Source organism: Homo sapiens, chromosome 22 (genome assembly GCF_000001405.40).
Source record: "Homo sapiens chromosome 22, GRCh38.p14 Primary Assembly".
Taxonomy (NCBI): domain Eukaryota; kingdom Metazoa; phylum Chordata; class Mammalia; order Primates; family Hominidae; genus Homo; species Homo sapiens.
This window is the reverse complement of record NC_000022.11, coordinates 45,589,844-45,613,976: the sequence shown is the minus strand read 5'-3', so window position 1 is coordinate 45,613,976 and position 24,133 is coordinate 45,589,844. Positions and strand designations below refer to the sequence as shown.

At 50.7% G+C, this 24,133-nt stretch overlaps 1 protein-coding gene and 1 long non-coding RNA gene across 2 annotated transcripts in view, besides 1 other annotated feature; one reads left to right on the top strand and one right to left on the bottom strand.

The window, feature by feature from the left end:
- Positions 1-8,329: 8,329 nt before the first annotated feature.
- Positions 8,330-9,545, top strand: LINC01589 (long intergenic non-protein coding RNA 1589). The gene is made up of 2 exons (NR_131244.1): positions 8,330-8,576; positions 9,219-9,545. It is a non-coding gene; the product is annotated as a long intergenic non-protein coding RNA 1589 (long non-coding RNA).
- Positions 12,083-12,655: an enhancer, noted in NCBI's record as "H3K27ac-H3K4me1 hESC enhancer chr22:45997202-45997774 (GRCh37/hg19 assembly coordinates)". NCBI's record gives its function as "activates a minimal SCP1, AML or CMV promoter by ChIP-STARR-seq in primed H9 embryonic stem cells {active_cell/tissue: H9 hESC(primed)}" and the evidence as "EXISTENCE:reporter gene assay evidence [ECO:0000049][PMID:30033119]".
- Positions 12,842-24,133, bottom strand: part of FBLN1 (fibulin 1) — a 98,253-nt gene continuing 86,961 nt past the window's right edge. The window contains exon 17 of the mRNA NM_006486.3: positions 12,842-13,670. Within this exon, the coding sequence (NP_006477.3) occupies positions 13,531-13,670 (140 nt within the window). The 3' untranslated portion in view covers positions 12,842-13,530. The remainder of the gene's footprint in view (positions 13,671-24,133) is intronic.

Sequence of the window (24,133 nt, the reverse complement as noted above, 5' to 3'; positions counted from 1 at the left end):
CTGGTCTCAAACTCCTAACCTTAAGTGATCCGCCCGCCTCGGCCTCCCAAAGTGCTGGGATTACAGGCGTGAGCCGCCGCGCACGGCCGTGCTTAACAGTTGTTATGCATGAAGTGGATTGTTCATATTCCAAAAGAAAAGGAGAGGTTAAGCCAGGCGACTGGCATTGGCTATGTGCTAACTGCGTACTGAACACTGCGGCAAGCATATACATGTCACTGAGTTTACTTGTCACAGATTTGCCTTTAGTTATCTTGGATTGTGATCACTGGCCATCTCCATACTGCTTCACTCGCTTCGTTATCATCACTGCTGATTTTGGGGTCACGGCCTGCCATCCAGCTGGACAGAACACCCAGGCCATGTCCTTAGAAACTGGCCCTTCGGTGTCTGCAGGATGCCAGCCAGCACAGTTCTCAGAAGGAGACGGTGATCATTGTCCCTTCGAGGCTCCTTTCTCCATGAATGGAGGGAAGTGCAGAACCGGTCCGAATGGGCAGGATGGTGTCTGGAGTTTTGTTACCGAAACAGACAGGACTATTTTTCACCATAGGCTGAAGGGGAGGAGGATGGTGGACGGTGACCAAGCATCACCGAGCCCTTACTAGGTCTCGGGTACCATGCTAGGCACTTCCACCGGTGCTGCCACCATATCCGTCTCAGAGAGGCTCAACAGCTCGCCCCCACCATGCAGCTTGTCAGTAGCAGAACTGGACTCCAATCCAGGCCATTCTGGCTCCCCGGTCCGAGTTCTTCCCACCACTGTGCTTTGGCCAGAAATGTGCATCACTATTGTTAGAGCCGGTTGCCACGGAAACGGTGTCTCTGCCCTGCATCAGGCTGGCCACAGTCACCTCCCGCTCAGGAAGCAGCCCACAGACCCACCGAGTCAGGCACCAGCCAACGGGCGGGCCTGGCCTCTGTCCACCTCTGTCCACAACTGTGCTGTTTCTGGCTCTGAGGGCCCCTGAGACCGGGAAAAACAACAGCAAGTCCCCGTGGGGTCCTGACCAGATGAAGTCTCCCACTTTGCCTCGTCTGTCACCAGCCACAGCTACGCGGCGGGCGCACCATCATGCAGCAGCCACCCTTCCTGTTTTCCTCCTTCCCCAGAGAAGGATTGCTTCTTTTTTCTTTCTTCCATGCCCCTGTATTCTAATGGTAGCTCTCTCCCCGAGTGGTTGACAAGCACAACTGTGGCTGATGATATAATATGACTAATAATGGGGAAGCGGTGTGAATACCCAGAGGCCAAAGAGAAAATAAAACAGCGATGACAGTCGCTGCTACATTTACGGTATTTCTTTCCACCGAGGCCTGCGGGCTAGCCGCTGCTGGGGCGGGGGCCGGTCACGAGGAGTTGCTAGCAATAGGCTGCGTCCTGTTGTTGCACGAATGATCTCAACTCCTGCTCTGGGACAGGGGTTTGCTCGCTCATCAAATTACAGCAGGCTTGTGTCAGCTCCAGCTGGTAGCTGGGCAGCATTTGCACTCTGGGTGCCTCCTGGGAGAAGCCTGGAGCGCAACTCACTTCAGTAGGAAGGGAGGTAAATGAAAACCTGGAAGCTGCGACAGGAGCCCTCTACTGAGAAAAAGAAACTGCAGAAATCGGCCTAGGGCAACTCTCCGTAAGACAGAAGTTTTACAATGTTCATTTTCAGGTGATTTCTTTTTTCTTTTTTTTTTTTTTTTTTGAGACAGAGTCTTGTTCTGTTGCCCAGGCTGGCGTGCAGTGGCGTGATCTCGGCTCACTGCAACCTCCGCCTCCTGGGTTCAAGCGATTCTCCTGCCTCAGCCTCCTGAGTAGCTGGGACTACAGGCGCCCGCCACCACGCCCAGCTAATTTTTGTTTTAGTGGAGACTGGGTTTCACCATGTTGGCCAGGCTGGTCTCGAACTCCTGACCTCAGGTGATCCTCCTACCTCGGCCTCCTAAAGTGCTAGGATTACAGGCATAAGCCACCTCATTCAGCCTTTTTTAAAAATTTATTTTTATTTATTAAACATTTTTCAAAGTGGTAAAATATACATAAGATAAAATTGACCATTTTAATCATCTTTGAGCGTATAATTTTCAGCAGCACTAAGTTCATTCATATCGTGGTACAGCCTTCACCACCATTCACCTCCATAACTTTTCTCATTTTCCCTAAGTCCCCATTAAATACCAGCTCTCTGTCCCCCTCGCCCCAGGCCCTGGCACCCACCATTCTATGAATGCTTCCTGTCTCTACGAATTTGACTCCTCTAGATTCCTCATCTGAGTGGAATCATACAGTATTCGTCCTTTTGTGACTGCGACTCTTATTTCACTGAGCACAATGTCCTCAAGATTTATCCATCTTGTGGTCTGTGTCCGAATTTCCTTCCTTTTTAGGGCTGAATGATATTCCATTGTATGAACAGACCACATTTTGGGTTTGTTTGTTTTTCTTTTTTTGAAACGGAGTCTCACTCTGTCACCCAGGCTGGAGTGCAATGGCGCGATCTCGGCTTATTGCAGCCTCTGCCTCCCGGGATTCAAGTGATTCTCCTGCCTCAGCCTCCCAAGTAGCTGGAATTACAGGTGCATACCACCACACCTGGCTAATTTTTATATTTTTAGTAGAGATGGGGTTTCACCATGTTGCCCAGGCTGGTCTTGAACTCCTGACCTCAAGTGATCTGCCTGCCTCGGCCTCCCAAAGTGCCGGGATTACAGGCAAGAGCCACCATGCCGGGCCTGGTTTTCTGTTTTTTTGAAATAGGGTCTTGCTCTGTTGCCCAGGCTGGAGTGCAGCTGCGTGATCTCAGCTCACTGCAACCTCCCACCCCCCAGGCTCAAGTGGTCCTCCCATCTCAGCCTTCTGAGTAGCTGGGACTATAGGCATGCACCACCACATCCAGCTAATTTTTTTTTCTTTTTTGGTTGATATAGGATTTTGCCATGTTGCCCAGGCTGGGCTCAAACCCCTGGGCTCAAAAAATCTGCCATCCTTGGCCTCCCACAATGCTGGGATTACAGCCATGAGCCACTGCACCTGGCCATAGATCACATTTCGTTTATCCGTTTGTCCATTGGTGAACAATTGGGTTGCTTCCGCCTTTTGGCTATCGTGTAGGGTGATTTCTATTATGATACTCTTTACCTTTTACAAAATTATTTGTATACTAAAAGCATAGGTTGCTTTTATTCACGTTAGTGAAGTTAAATAATGGCCAACTTCATTGGACCCTGCTTCTAGAATTCATTTCTCTTATGAAATTGAAACGAGCTTTGTCTTAAACAGTTTGGTGCATTGAGAGAAAATTAAGAAAACACAAATGATGAAAACAAAACGTAGTTCAGTAAATTTGCAATAAACAATGAAAGAAACTTGCTTTTACTGGGCCTGAAAGACCCCGTGCCAGCCTTCACGTTATCCTGCTGGTAAGTCCCGTAACCACCACTGTGTCTCATTCATCACTGTATCTCTGGGCCTAGCCCTGTACCTGAGTTATAGGAGACATGCCGAAAAATTTTTATTTTTTTAAAAAAGGAGAGTGAGGTGACATTTACTGAGAACTCACAAAGGCACGTGCCTGGGAAAGGAAGAGAAGAACTGGAACAGATATTTTCTGAGCTCCTCTTCCGGACCAGGCACCGTGCCCACGTTTTGTAGTCACCATCTTGCTTCATACTCCCCAAACTCCTGCAAGGTAGTAATTATTAGGCTCACTTTTCAGATGAGAGAACTGATACAGATGAAAAAACTCTCTGGGAGGATCTTGAAAGAGTTGGTAAAAAGTGCTAGATATTGGGTTTGGTCCTACCAGGAGTAAGCGAGGAAAGGGCTCTTTTCCCCGGGGAGTTAATATCAGACTTGCCCCCTCCAGAATATTGGGAATGGTCTCCTCGGCTAAATTGATTTAGTGTGTTCATGCCAAGCCCTTCCTAGGCCTTGTGTCCATGCCTGGTTATTGTTGTGTGTTGTTTTAATTTCATGCATATTTTATTTTTTAATTTTATTTCATGCATACAGGCATTTGCACATAATAAATGGTCAATAGAGATTCACCAAGTTGAACTGAATGTTGTTTGCAAGGAGGAAGGATTGGTTCCACAGTGTCAAAGTTTATCGAGACCTTAAACCAAAGGTAGCCTCTTCTTTCTGCTTGTCATGGAAAGAGCACAGGAGGCCGGAGGGTAAGAAACAGCTTGGCCGTGTCCTACTCTGGGGGAGTTTCTTCGTTTCTGAGGCTCACATTTGTCCTCTGCAAAATGGTAGTAATGATCTCAACCTGGCAGTGTTGTTTGGGGCTGGTGAAGGCCAAGTTGCTGCTGTTTCTCTAACGAAGGTCATCCCTGTCCAGTTAGAAATGTCCTTTCTTTTTCTTTCTTTTTTTTCTTTTTTCTTTTTTTTTTTGAGATGGGGTCTCACTCTGTCACCCAGGCTGGAGTGCAGTAGCATGATCTCGGCTAACTACAACCTCTGCCTCCCAGGTTCAAGTGATTCTCCTGCCTCAGCCTCCTGAGTAGTTGGGACTACAGGCATGTGCCACCACGCCTGGCTAATTCTTGTATTTTTAGCGGAGGTGAGGTTTCACCATGTTGGCCAGGCTGGTCTCGAACTCCTGACCTCAGGTGATCCGCCCGCCTCGGCCTCCCAAAATGCTGGGATTACAGGAGTGAGCCACAGCGCCCGGCCAAAAGTGTCCTTTCTTTTTAATGTCTATTAGAAACAGGCTGTGCTTCTACCTCTGAGCTCCGCATGCCTCTTTCCTCTCACCCCTACCCCACTCCTACCGTGCCTCTCACTGAACACCCAAGGTACCCATTCTCCAGGGCATTAGCCCACCAAGCTGGGCCTCACATCCAGCTGCAAAGATCACCCAAAGCTCTCTGTGCCATGATGAGCTGGCATTGGTCTCACTGTCGTATGACAAACAGGAAAGCTAGCAGGAAAGCCACAGACCGACCTAGTAAGCTTTCTCATGTTACCCTAGGTTAGTCATCGCTGCCAAGTTTTTGTGGCACAGAAAGAAAAAAATAAGCCCCCTCTTAAGCCCATGGAACTGAAGAAGACTGGAATGTGGAGAATGCCCAGTCCTCCTAAATCCCAATTGGAATAATCATGCTGGAATAGATTTCTTCTTGTTCACTCAAAACACTAAGGTTCTCAACAGCAAGTCACCATCACCACAGGCCAGAGCGGATTCACCCGACCTCAGCGCCGTTAGCATTCGGTCCTGGGATGCCAAAGGCTTTCTCTGCTGGGATCTGAGTTTGGGGGTTGAGGTGCTCAAGTTTCCAGGGCGATGCTTCTGGAGGGGTTTTACCAGTTTCTAATACCGAAGGCTCAGGGGAAGCAGTTTCAACTGGGGGCCTCTCTAATCTAGGGAGACAATGGAGAAATAGTTTCTTGTGTGCAAAGCCACTCTTCACACTGGGACGGGCTCTGCTCCCTAGAGCAAGAATTAAACACCTGCTGTGTATGCACAGGAAAGGATGTTCAAGAGAGTGCTTTCTGGGGAATCTGGAGATTTCTTCTCAGATCTGTCTGACTTTTCCTGCAAGAAATGCAGAAAAGGCTGTTGCCTTTTAGGAATGATCAGGAGCACCGTCTACTCCACCGGCTGACTTGAATAACTCACCCTCAAAGGTGCAGGAACCAGGACAAGGTGACCAGGGTGTGGGACTCAGAGAGCTACAGTCTCACGTGACGATGAAACGTCAGGTTCAAAGTGGCTGGCTCATGTCGCTGTCATATTTGGCTCTGCTAACTGCGTAGATTTCCCCATGTAGGATGTTAGGACTTGACTGTTTCCCAAAGTGGCTGGCTCATGTCGCTGTCATATTTGGCTCTGCTAACTGCGTAGATTTCCCCATGTAGGATGTTAGGACTTGACTGTTTCCCAAAGTGGCTGGCTCATGTCGCTGTCATATTTGGCTCTGCTAACTGCGTAGATTTCCCCATGTAGGATGTTAGGACTTGACTTTCCCACCGAGGACCTTAGAAGGGGCGTTCAATGGCCATTTCTGCTGCGACATTTCAGTAGCTTCTGGGTCCCACCCTCCAGGCAACCTCTTCTTCCTCAGCCTGGTTCTGTGACCTTGTGCCCCCTGCCACTCCTCCATTCTTAGCTCCACATGGGGCACCCACATCTTCCCCCTCCCAGAGCCCCCTCCCCAACTTCCCACCCCTGTCTGTCCCGCTTTTTTTTTTTTTTTTTTTTTGAGACAGAGTCTCATTCTGTTGCCCAGGCTGGAGTGCAATGGCGCGATCTTGGCTCACTGCAAACTCCACCTCTCAGGTTCAAGCGATTCTCCTGCCTCAGCCTCCTGAGTAGCTGGGATCACAGGCACCCACCATCTCGCCTGGCTAATTTTTGTATTTTTTTTAGTAGAGATGGGGTTTCACCATGTTGGCCAGGTTGGTCTCCAACTCCTGACCTCAGGTGATCCGCCCGCCTCGGTTTCCCAAAGTGCTGGGATTACAGGCGTGAGCCACCACGCCCGGCCAGCTCTCTGCAGACACCATCTGGGCGTCCTACACTTCAGTTCAATTCTGACGCTGGCCACCCAGAGTTAGCACAGGCCCGAGAGGATATGGGCTCCGTCCTGCAAGACCGTCCCTACTTCAGATGTCAGTTGCAAAGATTGGGCGCTCAGGTTACCCACACTTCCGTCTGACTTGGCTACACATCAGGGGTCCCCAGAACGCCCTCCTCGGGTTTGGTAATTGGCTAAAATGGCTCACAGAACTCAGGGAAACACTTTGGTTACATGTATAGGTTTCTAAGACCTTATACAAACTGGGCCCATTAGTCTTTGCTCCCTGATACTATCTGATACCATCTGGTCTCATTCCTTCCTGAATGGAATAATTCCTTCCTCATTCATTATCACAAGGACAATAATGTCCTTGTAAAGGACATTATTGATGATACAGATGAACAGGAAGACGAAGAGGCACACAGGGCGAGCTCTGGTGGGGCCCGGGCACAGGAGCTTCTGTCCCCGTGGAGTTGGGGGGCGCCACCCTCCCAGCATGCGGATGTGTCCACCAGCCCAGAAGCTCTCTGGATCCTGTAGTTCAGGGATTTTTACGGAGGCTTCATTACTTACGCGTGATGGATTATTAGCTCAATCTCCAGCCCCTCTCCCTTTCCTGGAGGGTGGGGGTGGAGCCAAAAGCTCCAGGCTCCTCGTCGAATCTGGGTCTTTCTGGTGCTCAGCCCCCAACCCCACCCAGGAGCCACTGAGAGTCACCTCATTAAACCAAAGACAAGGGATTAGGAGCTTTGTGTCAGGAACCCGGAAAGAGACCAAATAGAAGTGAATGTTTCTTATTATGTCACACAGCCACACCACGAGGTTGGTGCAGGAGCCCTTGAAGGAAGCCCTTGGAGGATCTGAGACCAAGAGGGCCTGATCAGATCGGAGTTTTGGAAATGTAACCTGGCAGCCTAGGGGAGGACTGGACAGAGTGGGGAGGACAGAGGGGAACTGATTCACCAGAGGGAGGGCGTGAAGTGAGTGAATGAATGAGTGAACCAATGAATGAACAAGATGGGAAGGAAGGAGTGAGACCAGATGGTATCAGATAGTATCAGGGAGCAAAGACTAACGGGCCCAGTTTGTATGAGGTCTTAGAAACCAGATCAAGGAGGTGGGATCAACGGTGCTTTCCTCTAAAGAAGCACATTTCCGGCCGGGCGCGGTGGCTCACGCCTGTAGACCCAGCACTTTGGGAGGCCGAGGCGGGTGGATCACCTGAGGTCAGGAGTTCGAGACCAGCCTGGCCAACACGGTGAAAACCCATCTCTACTAAAAATACAAAAATTAGCTGGGCATGGTGGGGGGTGCCTGTAATCCACACTACACAGGAGGCTGAGGCAGAGAGAATGGTTTGAACCCCCGGGAGGCAGAGACTGCAGTGAGCTGAGATCACGCCACTGCACTCCAGCCTGGGCGACAGAGCGAGACCCTGTCTCAAAAAAAAAAAAAAAAAAAAGAAGCAGCAGCAGCAGCAAATTTCCAGGAAGAAGCAGGCTATGGAGATCAGGGCAGGCAAAGGACAGAATTAGGTTAGTGCATCAACTGGGTCCAACCAGGAAGACACATGTGTTTATCTCCTGCAGCACCAAAAACCACCCAGAAGACAGCTCAGTGGACCCTAGCAGTGGATTCTACATGTCTGCAGAAAATGAGCAGAAAACAAGCCAGAGTTACAGCTATCTGCAGAGAGACTACATCCAGGAGGTCTGAAGACTGAAAGTAATCACTGCAGTCTGACTTCTACCACTGACACCCTTCCCATACATAATTTAAATGTGTAATTATAATACCATTGCTTAGTTAACGGACACCAATTCGTGCAGGAGCTGCCACAAACAGTAATAAACCAGCTGTGTTAGAAATGGATCACTTATCAGTGCGTGCCCAAGCCTCCTAATGCCTCATGATGTTTAATAATTAAATTGTGACACCTTGAACCCGCAGCTGACACCATGAATCACAGTGGAATTCTCCAAATGGAATGCAGCCACACCTCAGCTTCTGTGCTGCGTGCTGCCACTGAGGACATTCGATACCATTGAAGCCGTCAGATAGAGGTGGGTTATTTCCCTGTGCCCTGCACCTCCCTTCTGGCAAGTCCCTGGGAAGCAGTGGCCACAGATGAGCTGCTGCTCTCTTAAAGACTGAGATCAGGCCGGGCGCGGTGGCTCATGCCTGTAATCCCAGCACTTTGGGAGGCTGAGGCAGGCAGATCACCTGAGGTTGGGAGTTCGAGACCAGCCTGGCCAACATGACGAAACCCTGTCTCTACTAAAAAATACAAAAAATATTAGCTGGGTGTGGTGGTACGCGCTTGTAATCCCAGCTACTTGGGAGGCTGAGGCACAAGAGTTTCTTGAACCCAGGAGGCAGAGGTTATATGGAGTCTCGCTCTGTCACCCAGGCTGGAGTGCAGTGGCTCAATCTCGGCTCACTGCAACCTCATTTCAGGAGATGAGACCGGCATCCTTGTGGGAGAAGATGGCCCTGAGCTGGGCATGGCAGAAGGGCTGCGGAGTGTGTGTGTGTGTGTGTGTGGTGTGTGTGTGTGTGCACACATGCGCACATGTGTGTGTGAGAGAATGTGTGTGTGTTGGAGATGATTACCGAAGCCTTCCTGGCACATAGTAGGTCTTTTTTCCCACAAAGAGTAATGTGATTATTGGTAGTAATGGTGACTGTCACCGTGCTTCTCACAGGCCGTATTTCAAAAGGTCTACGGTGGCTCCGTTTCTTCTCTGAGACTTCAAAAGTCCTTCAAGAGTGAGTTCCCGTCTCATTCTATGTCCAGGATGAAGACGGATGGCCTCTTGGCACCCATCTCTTTGGCATGAACGATGTGGGGAAACGTGAATGGAAATGGGGAACTGTTGCTGGCACCCAGAAGTCATCCGGTCCGGATGAAGCCAAGTCACAAGGAAGTGCCTCCAATTATTCTTCATAAATTCCTCTGAGGTTTCACTTCTTGTCCACACAAGACTTTAATAAAATGTGGCATCTAACTGAATAAAGACTATCCTTTCGGGTGTGTGTGTCATGACAGTACTATTTATGGAGGACCTCCTGTGTAGCAGTTCTTGCACTGTTTTACGTAATCATCCCCTTTCATCCTAACAATCACTCCTGTGAAGTATGTGTCCTTATTTTCATTTCGTTGTAGAGAAAACCAAGGCTCTGAGACATTAAGCAATGTGCCCAAGGACACACAGCTAGTAAGTGGCTGGATTTGAGCGCAAGCCTACAAGAAACTGTAAGTTTCTTATTTGTATTTATTAATTCATCATATTGTCATTTCTTCAAAATGCAACTGAATCTCATAAAATGTCAGTGGCAGAATCTAGGTGGAAGGTGCCCTGGTATTCACTGTAAAATTCCTTCAACTCGGCTGTATATTTGAAAATTTTCATGTTACAATATTAGGAAAAAAACCCTTGATTTCCAGGTGTTTTTTCACCTGGACAAACTTGAGAACTTTGGAAAAGCTGGCTTACCTCCTCGAATTCTAGTTGGCTGGCTTGGCTGGGTTGGCTGGGTGGGCCCTGGCACCCTCCACTCAATGCCCACCTGCATGTTAAAACGGGTCCTGCTAGGACCCTGGGCAGCCCAGGCACTTCTGACACATGCCACAGACTTCCTCTGTACAGTAGAATAGATGTCCCTTAGGAATAAAAAAAAAAAACAGGCAGCTTTCTGGTCGAATACCACTCTATGACACCTTCTGGGACCTTCCCTCCAAGTTTCTTCTACCAGATCAACAAGAAGGATTCAACTTGGTGTCTCTGTGTGTTTTGCTGTCTCATGCTGCTTATAAACTGCTTTGCCTTTAGCAATGTCCCTCAGTTATCTTGTTCTAAGGCTACAATTAAGAAGGAATCACTGTTGTGGAGGAACTCAGAGGCACCTCCAGCTCCCATTAGCTGGTCCCTTAATGCCGCTGATGCGAGGCTCTGACAGTAATTACTTTGCAAGTATAATGAGATACTTATGGGTCCATCAGGTGCCCAACCCATAGCATGATATGAAATATGAAGAGTTAAGCTGGTGGGTAATTTACACAACTGTCTACCAAGTCTCTCCAGGATGATTAAGAAAAGGAAATGCCGGATTGAAAAGATGCCAAGCTTCCAGAGCGCGTTCATGTGGCTCGATTGACAGTGGCAACCATTATCGTCATCACCGTCATCGCTGCTTTTAACGGTTAATGATAATAAGCCGTCACACACGGATGCAGCACTTTGCAATGCACAAAGCCCTCTTGCACTCATGCTCTCCAGCGCTCCTCACTGCCATCTGGGAATCTCCACTTTGCAGATGTGGAAACTGAAGCTCGGACGATGGCAGTGACTCGCCCTGCTAGCCCTGCCGAGAGAGGTCTGCCTTTGCCTCCCTGATTCTGAATCAGATAGGGTCAGGACTCCCTCTATTCCCCTGGGCTCCTCAACCTGGCGCCCTCACCGCTTACTTGCGGGCCCCTCCTGCCCTCTTCTGCTCCAGACGGCAGGCTCTCTGAGGCAGGACTCTGATTGGACAGCTTGGATCATGTGCTCATTCAAAAGCCAATCAGCAGCAGGGGGCTTGGCTCTGTATTCACTCTTCCCATGTTAGCTGCCCTTTTTTTTTTTTTTTTTTTTTTTTTTTTTGAGACACAGTCTCATTCCTCTGCCCCGGCTGGAGTGGATCTCAGCTCAATGCAACCTCCACCTCCTGGGTTCATGTGATTCTCCTGCCTCAGCATCTCGAATAGCTGGGAATACAGGCACCCGCTACCATGCCCAGCTAATTTTTGTATTTTTAATAGAGACGAGGTTTCACCATGTTGGCCAGGCTGGTCTGGAACGCCTGACCTCAAGTGATCTACCTGCCTTGGCCTGCCAAAGTTCTGGGATTACAGGTGTGAGGCACTGCACCTGGCCTGCCCTAACTCCCGTTAGGAATATGGGAAACTCTTTTCCCAAAGCAGCCTGCACCTCGGTCTTCCCACCCCACCCTACTGAAGAAGGCTCCCAGAAACCAGCTTTGCTGAGCCCAGAACGGCCTGGCTCTGGCAGATTTGCCCCCAGGCTGCAAGTGGGCGGCAGCACTCCCCCTACATGTCCCTTTCTATTTCCTGCCCCTCCCCCTGAGTCTTCCTTTCATTCTTGCAGCCAGCTCCCAGCCCTGCTTCCCTGCCAGGACCCCAATTCCCTAACTCCCTGGCATCAAGACCTGCATGGATGTCCCCTGCACTTGTTTTGTCCCCGGATGTGGCTCCTTGGACTGTCCAGCCCCACACCTGGCCTCTTGTTTCCCACCAGCTACAGCGGCCAAGGCTCCAGCAGGCCTTGTACTTGGCTGGCCCAGGCTTGGCTTTGATGGACCAGTGACCCAAATAAGTGACCTTGGAAAGGTCTTCCTAAAGGTGGTGGAGACCATGTTCTTGAGAGTTGGAGTGGTGTTGGCTTGAGTGTGGGGCTGAGATCTCACCCAGTGCTAGGGTCCAGGCTGCGAAATGAGGCATAGGATGAGAGAGGTTCTGAGCCACAAATGGGGTCCATACCTAAGAGGATGGGATCAACCTAGGGAAGGATTTGGAGGAGAGGCGTGTGTGGAAACAGAGCCTGGATGCTGAGTCCCTGGAGGCCGGAGTGGGCCCTGGGGCACAGGGAGCCCCTGGCCCCGCCACTGATGCCAATTGGGGTGTCAGTCCCCCAACAAATTCAGTCTGTCCATATCTATTGCTGACACAGGGTTTAGAGAGGGCTTAAATTCAGATAAATGGAATTTGAATTCCCTCTTTGTCTCTCAAATGTGTGAATTTTGGCAGCCAAGTTCCTCTCTCTGAGCCCAGTTTGTCCATCTCAAGATTGTGTGTGATCATACCCACCACACTGGGCCACCAGGAGGAATGAGCGAAGCACCTCATGTCAAATGCCTGGCCCAGGCCTGTGTCTGGCAGGGACTCATGGCTGCGGAAGGGTCATTATTTGCCCCCAGGGATTTCTAGAGAGGATCAGGATGCCACGAGGGATGCTATTGGAAGCAAGTCACACAGAAGCCAGAGCCCTGGGCTTTCCTAGCAGCACTGGACATGGGGCAGGGAACAAACCCGAGCCACACTTCTCAGAGGGTGGGCATGGCATTGAAAACGACGTGTGTAGGAAGCTTTTCCAATACACAAGCTGGGCCCCGCCCCAGAACCTTGAGGGGCAGGAGGAGCACTGAGACAACCTTGGGTGGGGTGAGGCAGGGGGACGGCGGGGGGAGATTTCCAGTCCCTTAGCTGGCGGAAGACTCCTGAGCTGGCAGAGAGCCCTCTTCTTGAAAGACTCTCATGCACAGGCCATCAGGAGGATCACAAAGTTGTTTATTTTCCCACCTATAAGAAAAGATGGATGATGCAGAGTGCCGAGAAATCCCAGCCATTCCCCTGGTGAACATACTGGAGGCCCACACGAGCCTAACAGGCTGTGTCTTTACCAAGGGATTTTCCTCTATTTCAACAGAACTGCAATTTCCCTTCCAAGTGCTCCCCGAGGCATTCTGTCATGCTGCTTCTGGGGATAATTTATCATCCACGTCTGTGCTATTCTACAGCAGCCATGTCCTTAGAACATAGAAAATCTGATTGGCCAAAAAAAAAAAAAAAGTGCCAAAATGTCAAATTTCATACAATCAGGGCAAGAACTGGTCTTCTTTTGGCATTTGGACTGGCTGCCCCCTAAAAAATGTCTTTCTTTCCTTGGCCCTTAGCAAGGCCCAGCCAGAGGCAGAGAAAGGGGGTGACACTTAGCCTTCGCATTAAAAAATGAGCAAGGTTTTCAACCAAACAGTTGAGCAACTGGGCTCATTTTTTAAACACCGAAAATACATCAGATGGACTTATTCATCTGGCTCAGCTTAATACATGTTGGCCTAATGCTACAAATACCTAACATTAAAAAAGTCTGAGGGTATAAACAAGTACAGACCACAGTCACTGGCAGCAATGATTTGGCCTGGAGGTGCACCTGCGGCTGTGCGGCAGACCAGCCCTCAGAACCAGTACTCAGAGACGAAGATGTGGACGTTGACAACATTTCGGTGGGAGACCACGCCCCCGACCACATAGTTCATCTCCAGCTTCAGGACGGCATGAAATGGGCCCACGATGGGCCGCACCTGGCGCACGACACCTGCGGAGAGAGCAGAAGGTGTGCTGGAAGTTAGAAGGGACTGCAGCAACGTAGAGATCTGGGAAATGGTTTCCCTTGAGGAGTTTCAGAGCTAGAAGGAGGCATAGACCTCATGGAGTCCCATCCTACGCCAGATGCTCGAGTCCCCTGAATAACATCTCCTTCCAAGTGGTCAGCTCAGGCTCTGCTCCTGCCTCCAGGGACTGGTGAAAGTGAACTCACTACTTGCTGGGACAGCCTTTCCATCATGCACTGCCCAACCTGGAGGAAAGTTGTGGGTGTGGGCTTTGAAACTGGATGGCTCTGGGATCAATGCCAGCTTCTGAGCCCAGGTTTTCTGCTCTACCACCATTTACCTGACAGGTGTTTTTTGTTTGTCTTTTGTTTTTGCGACGGAGTTTCACTCTTGTTGCCCAGGCTGGAGTGCAATGGCGTGATCTCGGCTCATTGCAACGTCCACCTCCCGGGTTCAAGCCATTCTCCTGCCTCAGCCTCCCGAGTAGCTGGGATTACAGGCATGTGCCACCATGCCTGGCTCATTTTATATTTTTAGTAGAGACGGGGTTTCTCCATGTTGATCAGGCTAGTCTCAAACTCCTGACCTCAGGTGATCCACCCGCTTTGGCCTCCCAAAGTGCTGGGATTACAGGCATGAGCGACCGTGACTGGCCTACCTGAAAGGTTTTAAGGGAGCCTAGAAGAGGGCCTGGCATGCAGTGGGTACCTGATAGACATCTTTCTCCCTCCTTCCAACCCCCTGTGCCCAGTTCTGACCCCTGAGAAGAAATGAAGCAGGCGTATCCTCTCCCCCAGAACATCTGAGGACTGCAATGGGCCCTGGATCCTCCTGCAAGCAGAGCACCCCCAGTTCTCCATGGGGCATGCCTCCGGACCCCTTGCTGTGCATGCCTCTGTGGAGGCTGACACCTGAGCTCACTGTTCAGTGTTTGTGATAACAGGGAAGCAAGAGGTGGCTGGAGTGACAGAGGATCAGAGCAGCAGTGGCGTCCCCAGGGCAGTCAAAAGGAGGATGGGTGGTGCAGGGAGACTGGTGTCAGTTCTGGGGAAACAGCTGGGGGTTGCAGGGAGCTCTGCCTGTACCAGGGTAGGGATCAGGCAAAGACCGTGGCCAGAGGACAGGGCACAGACAAAGCTCAGCCACGGCAGGGTAGAAGAGGAGCAACCCCAGGCATTCTGCAGATTCCAGGGGATCCGGGTTAGCGGGTAAGGGAGTGGGTGCCACAAGTCCTCCCCAGCCTGGGCCCGCCATCTCCATGGCCCCCGACCAGGCCCAGCTGGCACTGCCTTCCCTCTGCAGGGCACCCAAAGCCTCACAGAGACTCTCCCATACTCTGTACGCAGTGAGAGTATGGGACAGTCCTCACTGCACTGCGGAGAGGCTGAGGCCCTTTTGAGGCCTAGGTTCCCCAGCAACAAACGGTGCCATGCCCCTGTGCTCCTGCACTGCACGATTCAGATGCCCAGCATCTGCCAAGGCATCAGCTCCAGCTGTGCAGAGCGGCCTTCCCACCAGAGCAGAGCACTCAGCAGATCCCCTTCGCATGCACACATGTGCTAAACAGGTGCTGGGACAGTTCCCAGGGTTCCAGACATCATGAACAGGATGCTGGTTTCAAAGCTGGTGGGAGATCTAGGATGAAAGGTATGCACCACGCTCTGATGGAGGGTGTGCATTGTCCAGCGGGGGCGAGAATGGAGGTGGGGAGGGCTGGGGAGTCAGGACAGGTTTCTTGGAAGAGGCACCCCTCCTGCAGAGGAAGCTGCACAAGCCAAGGCTACAGGCTGCTCCCCAGTGTCTGCGGCCAAACAGGCACAGACCTATGGGTGCTGACATTTATGAATGAACCGCCAAGGTCCCTTCTCCGTTCCACATGTTCTGACAGTAGGATTTGTCTAAGGTGGTGTTGAGGGTGGGGATGTGGGGTAACTATCTAACAGGTGGCTCTCTGGTCGTACCATCGGCCAATTTCTATGGCAAATTTCCGGTACCACGTGGCAACACTGAAAGTGGACTTGTGGAGAGATGTGTACAAGCAGCTCTCCAGAGCTGGTGTGAGCAGTGTGAACGGTGTGAGCTGGCACTGAGACACCTGCTTGGATGCTCTGTGAAGAGCGAATATGGAGCCTGCAGCTTCACAACCACAAGTTGAGAAATAGCTACTGACTGTTTGCCACAAACGGCTGATTCCAGGCTGGATTCTGTGAACAGTTCCTCTGCAGGCTTAGGAAACGTGCACGGTGACAGCCTATCTCCACCTCTTGGTGCCCAGGACACAGCAAAGGCTCAGGGGAGAACTGAGGGGTCAGGAAGGCCTTCGGTACGAGTGGCTGGTTCCTGGTCAGGAACATCAAGTTCACGCTCAGAAAGAGAATCTGGGCACAACGTTCCCCCCTTTCGCTCTCTGGGCTTATGTTTCAAAAGTGAAAGGCCCAGCAGCTGGGGTGGAATTTCAGGCTGTTCCCTAAGCAAACATGGGCTTTAGCTCCGATGGAGAGATAAGCACAGGCTTCTGCAGGCTGTCAGCACCCTTGCTCTGCCTGCTACCTGGTGATGACATTGAAGCTTTGTCCTGCTTGAAAGCCCATGAACGTCTTCAGCTCCCGGCAAAAGACGTGCGCCTGTCACCACCCTGGGCTCGCCAGCAGAACCTGATGACGGGGTCACTCCTGCCTGCCCCTCCCTGGGCTGGGTCTGCCCACCAGGGTCAGTGTGGGCTTACAGGGCTGAACCTAACGTACCCCCGTGGGCCCCCTGTATGTCATATTTTTCTCTCCCCAGGCCCGAGGCCAACAATGGTGCCCCCGCTAGCCACAGTGACCTGCCAACTTTACTGGTACTAGGCGCAGAGACACTTCTTACCACCCTTCCTGGCATTCAGAGGTTTGGGGCTTGAAGGAGAAGGAGAGGCTGGGTGAGCCTGTGAATCACTGTAGGGAGGAATGGCAGGCACCTCCACAAGCAACAGTCAGATATGTCTTTGTTTCAGCTGGGTGCAGTGGCTCACGCTTGTAATCCCAGCACTTTGGGAGGCTTAGGCGGGCAGATCACAAGCCCATGAGTTCGAGACCAGCGTGGGCAACGTGGCAAAACCCTGTCTCTACAAAAAATACAAAAATTAGCCAGGCATGGTGGTGTGTGCTTATAGTCCCAGCTACTCAGGAGGCTGAGGTGGCAGAATTGTTTGAGCCCGGGAAGGTCAAGGTTGCAATGAGCCAAGATTGTGCCACTGCATTCTAGCCTGGGTGACAGAGCAAGATCCTGTCCCAAAAAAAAAGAGATCTATTTCTGTTATTATTATATTTCTGTATATTATATAGTTTCATATATGATATATAACTATTATACATATAAAACAATATATTAAAAATATATGTTATAAAGTATGTCAAATTTATATAACTGTATTTTAAATAGTTTAAAGTGTATTTTATAAATTTACATATAAATTTATATAATTATTATATAATTATATTTACACATAAGTGTATTTATATGTAAATATAATTATATATAAATATCCATATTTGTTCATATAAAATGTTTACATTTACTCTAAAATTTATATATAAAATATAAACATGATAAATATATAATTATCATATTATGTTGCTATATGTACATAATTATATTATGTTGATATATGTATATAATTATATTATTATGTTGATATATGTATATAGTAATCATATTCTTATGTTGATATATGTATATATAATTATCATATTCTTATGTTGATATATTTATATATTTATCTTAAATGTCTATATTTAAATACACACTCCTGGTGCATGTGGGACCATTAATATTATCAACAGTTCCAATGCACAGAGGGTCTGCGCATGCTACGTGTGCCTGGCACTGGCTAAATAAGAATGTAGAGAAACTGAAGGTCTGTCCTCAGGGGTCAGTCTGGGGACAGAGAAAGAAAGAAGAAAGTGCTCATGCAGTGAGCTCCATGTGGGACAGGGACCTGCCACAGACGTTCTAAGTAGGCCCTTTGAGACCTGCAGGATACGAACTGACCTGGCTCCGTGGTAGGACCCCCAGATGGATTATTTGACCTTCCTGAGTCTCAATTTCCTCTTCTATGAACAGGGATTAAAAACAGCAACCTTTGGCCGGGCGTAGTGGCTCACGCCTGTGATCCCGGCACTTTGGGAGGCCGAGGCGGGCGGATCACAAGGTCAGGAGATCAAGACCATCCTGGCTAACACGGTGAAACCCCGTCTCTACTAAAAATACAAAAAATTAGCCGAGCGTGGTGGGACACGCCTGCAGTCCCAGCTACTCAGGAGGCTGAGGCAGGAGAATCACTTGAATCCAGGAGGCGGAGGTTGTAGTGAGCTGAGATCGCGCCATTGCACTCTAGCCTGGGCGACAGAGCAAGACTCTGTCTCAAAAAACAAAACCAAAAATAAAACAAAAAAAACCCCAGCAACCTTCAAAATCAGAAACAAATCAAACTCGATGTCATCCTTTTTCTTTCCACTGAGAAATGACCACTGGCTATCAAAAAGCATTCTAATATTTAAAGTGATCTGACTCCCAGCCAAAGCGTGGCTGAATTCTTAGAAACATACAGCAGGTGTTAAGTATTTCTCTTGGACTGATTTATGAGAGAGGAAAGCCCTGAACATATAGAAAATGATTGTCCCTAAATACATTGCACCAGAGTACTTCACGAGGTTTGGTCTCTACAATGGCTGAAGACCAGAGCTCCAAGCTGATTGTAAACAGCTGCGTGGTGAGACGAGCAACTAGAAAGGAAGGACCACACTAGGGAAAAGGGTGCTGTGAAGGGGAAGGGAGGCGCTAGGCTGAATCACTGATGGTCAGATTCGGGGCCTGGATTTTCTCAGGTTCTTTGCATTTAACAAGAAAAGTTATTAAGGTAGAACAAGTAGGGATGCTGCGAGGGTTGAACAACAGACTGTACGGCTGCACACAGCAGGCGCTCAAGGAATGTGCACCCCTTCCTGACCTTCCAAATCCGCTTCTCTATCCCTCCCCTCTGACCTGAAGTCCACACTGCATCTCCCAGTCTGTGCACAACCCCACTCAACCCAGGACCCCCTTTCCCAGGCCATGCCCTGTCAGCGGACCTGCCCACACTCCTCCAGCCTAGCCACATTTTCCTGGGCTCTGGTTTGGGGAACAGGTTTCCTCCATCTCCAGGCTAGTTCAAGCATGACTTCCACCTCCTTGCCCTCACCTCGACTGAACCCAGGCCAGTGGCTAGGGAGGACTTCATGAAAGAGGACCTTAACAGTTCAGCTGGTCCTCAGTTCCTGGCACATAATAGATGCCAAATAAATGCCTGCAGAATCAAGATTCTGATACCACTTTTCTTCATAGCTTCATAACCATCCATCAACCCAACCATCCACTCACCAATCCATCTATCCATCCATCCGTCCATCCATCCATCCACCCACCCACTCAGCAATCCATCAACTCACCTACCCATGGATCCAACCATCCATCCATTCACCCACCCATCAACCCAACCATCTGCTCATCCATCCATCCATCTATCCACTCACCCATCCATCTATCCATCCATCCATCCATCCATCCATCCATCCATCTATCCACCAATCCATCCACTCACCTACCCATGGATCCAACCATCCATCCATTCACCCACCAATCAACCCATCTGTCCATCCACCCACACACCCACCCATGGATCCACCCACCCATCCATTAGATGCTACCCACCCATGAATCCACCCACCCATCCATTAGAGGCTACTCTGCACAGAGGAGCTTTAAACAGGAAGCTTTAAATTGGGTTTTGAGGAATAAATATGAGCCAAGGAAGCAGGAAGGACAAGTGCAAAGCCCAAAAATATGAAGTTTCAGGCCGGTTCTGGGAACGGTGTCAATCTTGGGGAGAGGCAGGCAGATGAGGCTGAGCCACGTGCCTCATCTGGTGGGGACTGCCCCAGGACCTCACTTCGTCAGTCTCAGAGAACCAAGAAGCTGGGTCATTTCCTGGCTGCCTCCCCATCACGAATTCTACACCACTGTTCTTTCAGAACCACCACCAACTTCTCTAACACAGGGAGGCAAGGGAAGGAGGAAGAAGTAGCAAGGAACACTCGCTGCCCACATGCAGCATCGCAAACATGAGAGCTGCCACCAGGGGCCTGGTTCCATCCATCCACTTGATCCTACAGACTCTGATTTGCCATGTCTCATGTGCCAGACACTGGGACCAGCTGGAATGCTTCATAGAAGTCTTCACAGAAGTCTTCCCTGGACCCCCTATGTCACCTGGCACCTGGTCTCTTTCCACTGCAACACTGCACCTGCTCATTGCAGGGGACGCTCACAGTCGGCCTCCTTGTTCAGGGACAGTGTCAGCTCATTTCTGCCCCACCATCCCCAACCCAGGCCCTGGCAGGCCCATGGCAGGCCTTCTGCCATGAACACGTCGTAAGATGAAGGCAGAAGAAGAAGAAAAGAGAGTGAAGGAAGGAGAGAAGGAAGAAGGAAAATCAGTCCCTGAAGCCTCACAATCTAGGAACGAAGACAACACTTTGTCCTGAAGGAAAGGGGAGCCACTGAAGGCTCCGGGTGAGAGCAGTTTCATTTGGAAGGACCACCCCAGCAGTAAAAGGCAGGACAAAGAGGTGCATTTCCATCACACCTGGCTTGTCTGTCTTACCTGCCAGGGTGTTTGCCTCCTACCTTTCCGAAGCCCCAGAAAGAAAAAAAAGGCCACAGTGCTGAGTTCAATTGTGTTAATCTTCCAAATCCTCATCCCTGGCATTTCTGCTTCAGGTCTCAGACGCTGCTGGTATCCCTTGGCGTGTCTGTGCCTCTTAAAGATATAATTAAGCACTTTTTTTCTCCCTGTTGAAAAATGTAGGTCCCCTCGGGCGCTTCACTTTCATGTCTTGGCTCTGCTCTGTAAGTTGCAGCTGATGTGCTGGGGATCCAGGATCCTGAACACGAAGTGCTCGGGTGCAGTGGGGAGACCTTCGCTGCCTCTTGGGCTCTGTGGTCCACATTCTCGGCCCCATCTCGAAGCCATCTTTCAGCTCCTGCTATTTGATGTTGCACTTGATTGTCTCTCCATTGTTTCAAATGATGAAAGTCAGTGGCGGGGGGTGGGGGGGGTCTCTCTGCCTGAGTCTCATGTCTCTGACTCTAGACACTGGTTTATAAAGAGACCTAGAGTTACAGCCTCGAGTTCCTAGGTGGCTCTGCATCGACCAGCTGTGTGACCTTGGGCACGTCATCTTCCCTTCTAAAGTGCAGCCTCCAACGTGAGGCTTGTGATTCTAGCTGACAACGTGTAATGGAGTGTGCAGGGCTGTCAAAGAGCATTTTAGCAAACCAGATGATGAATCAAGAGACTGCACAATATCTCATACCAGTGGAAATTAACTGTGGCCACCATGTGGGGCCAGCCATGAGCAGAAAGGAAGGGAAGTGTAGGGCTGTGTGGACAAGGTGCTGAAACAGAGAGGCCAGGAGCTCAGAGGAGACCCAAACAGGCTTGCCCATCACAAGCACCGCAGGCAACTGGGAAGAAGCAAACCATCACCAGGCCTCAGTAAATTCACCCCAAGAGGCTCCACAGTTCCTGCAGGCGAGGACGAGCAGCACAGACCAATGGCAAAGAGGAAACGTTGAGAATATGTGCGGCCGGGCGTGGTGACTCACGCCTGTCATCCCAGCACTTTGGGAGGCCAAGGTGGGTGGATCATCTGAGGTCAGGAGTTCGAGACCAGCCTGGCCAACATGTCGAAACCCTGTCTCTACTAAAAATACAAAAATTAGCTGGGCATGGTGGCAGGCGCCTATAATCCCAGCTACTCGGGAGGCTGAGGCAGGGAGAATCACCTGAACATGGGAGGCAGAGGTTGCAGTGAGCCGAGATCACGCCACCACACTCCAGCCTGGGTGACTGAGCGAGACTCTGTCTCAAAAAAGAAAAAACAAAAAAGCACATGGAAGTATTGTCAGCACTCACAAAGCCACCAACTAGAGTGTGGATGGGCTGGAAAGAGGCCACACAGCAGGAGACATGGGTGGAGACAGAGAGACCCTATGTGCCCACAGCCGCATTCAGCCCCCATCGCAGTTAGGGATGAGACACGGTCGCCCTCCTTCTCCTGGGGAGAAAAATGAGGCGCTACTAGTAGCACCTTCCAGATCACGGAGCTAACAGGGCCGCAGGTTTCCGTCCAGCGGGGACTGACCTCAGAGCCCAGATCTTCCCATCCCACTACATCTCCTTCCTCCTGTCTGCAAAATGGCGCGCAGGACACTTCCTCCCTCCTGTCTGCAAAATGGCGCGCAGGACACTTCCTCCCTCCTGTCTGCAAAATGGCGCGCAGGACACTTCCTCCCTCCTGTCTGCAAAATGGCGCGCAGGACACTTCCTCCCTCCTGTCTGCAAAATGGCGTGCAGGACACTTCCTTCCTCCTGTCTGCAAAATGGCGCGCAGGACACTTCCTCCCTCCTGTCTGCAAAATGGCGCGCAGGACACTTCCCGACTGTACTGCCCTTAGCTGAGTCATAAACACACGGCAAAAACAGCAGAAAGCAATTAGAGAGAATCGCATCAGAAGCTGGTGGTGCAGTTGAAGGGACTGAGCTCCCGAAACCTGGTCTTCTCTGCTTGGCTGAGAAACGCCATAAAAGCCGGGAAGCAAGGGGGACAGGTGTCTGGGCTGCATATTTAAAATACTAAGTGTCAGTCAACATGTCTCAGCAAAACTCATCATCCGTATTTCTTGATGGTTATAAATGTGCTCCTTCCGCAGGTCTCCCGTGAGCTAAATCAGACAGTTTGGAGGGGACAGCTGAAGGTAGCTGAACGAAAGAGACAGCTCTTCGTTTCAGGGTGCACCTTTCCCCTTGGGGAAAAATATGAAGGGAAATGTCAGCTTTGGACTAAAGCCCTTCAGCCTTCACCTGTGGCGTGGGAACTAACATTTCTGCAGTGCTTCGTCATCACAGAGCTCACTCACATCGACTGTCTCTCCTCTCATCGCAAACGCAGGCAGTGGGGGCTCACCGGGGAGAAAATTTGGCTCTGTGTGGTTACGTGAGTTGCTGACAATCACACGGCCAGCAAGCAGTAAACCAGAACTGGAGCCCAGACCCTGGGCCACTGCCCCTTCCACCAAGCTCTGTGGCCTTGCCAAAGGAAGACAAGGTCTGGGAGAGTTCTGGAAGGATCTGCTGTCTGAGGCACCTCCTTTTAGGAGAAGTGAACTTGTGACTGAGACTAGAGGGATAAGAAATCATGTCCCCTCCCTCCGTGTGTCTCCTGAGCCGACCTCAGCCTCCACCCACCTACCTGCTGGGTGGGGTCCTCCTGGGCCCCCGACCCAAACTCGGAGTCCACTCCAATTTCTCCAGACGCCCCTCCCAGATGGACAATTCAAATCCAAGCACGCCAAACACTGACCTACCCTCCTCCCTTAAACCCACTTCCCTTCCTCCCCTACCCCTCACTCTCCAGGCAGGTACCCCCAAGCCAGGAACTTGGAGTCGCCCTCGATAGGCCCCTTACTCCCATCCCTCAGGTTAAACCATCACTGAGGCCAATGGATTCTATTCCTAAAGGTCTCCAGACTCTCCTCCCTTCTCTCCCCACAACCCCACCTGGCCTCAGTTCCGGCCTCGTCGCATCTACCTGAACACGTGTACCACCTTCCTTTTCACCCCTCCCATGCCTCTTCCCACTGTGCTCAGAGCCAGGAGGTAAATCCAACCGTGGGGGCCCACTGTGGCTCTGCAGGGGGCTCTTCTCACCCTACCCCCACCCGGGCTCACAGCAGGTGAGACGCATCTTGCTGAGGCCCACGGCCCCGTCCAGCCCAGCTCTCAGCACACTGCCCCAGCCACACTGAACCCCTTGCAATCCCCCAAGGTGAGGGGGCCACGAAGGGCAGGACGAGTTCAAGTCTTGCCAACTTCACTCAAAGACGTGGGCACACCAGAGGGGCCAAGTCCTGCCCTCTGCCTTCCGGAGTGAAGGCTACTCTGCCTCTTTCTACAGATGCAATGAAGGTCTGGAGGGATGGGGGGGAAGAGAGGCTGGCCTGGCGGGCAGCCCTTGAGTGCAGAGAGGGGGTCCTGAGCCCCAGGCCTGCAGGTCAGAGCAGAGCCCTCTCTTCTCTATCTGACAAGCACAGAGCACTTGCTGTGGGTGGCTGCAGTGCTGGGTGCTGGGGTTACCAACATCACCTGGCCCTGGTCTGGCTCTTCATGGGGCTCTCAGCCACTGGGAGAGCAGGCACAGGGGATTGGGGCAGCAGAGGCTGATAAAGGTAAGCAAATCTCCTTTGGGAGAGCTTCGGAGAAATACACACCCCAAACCGGGAACTGGTGTCATGGAAGCTTCCCCAACGGGTTAACCTTGAACTGACTTTGAAGAACGAGGTGCCCAACAAGAAAAGGGCGATGGGAGGG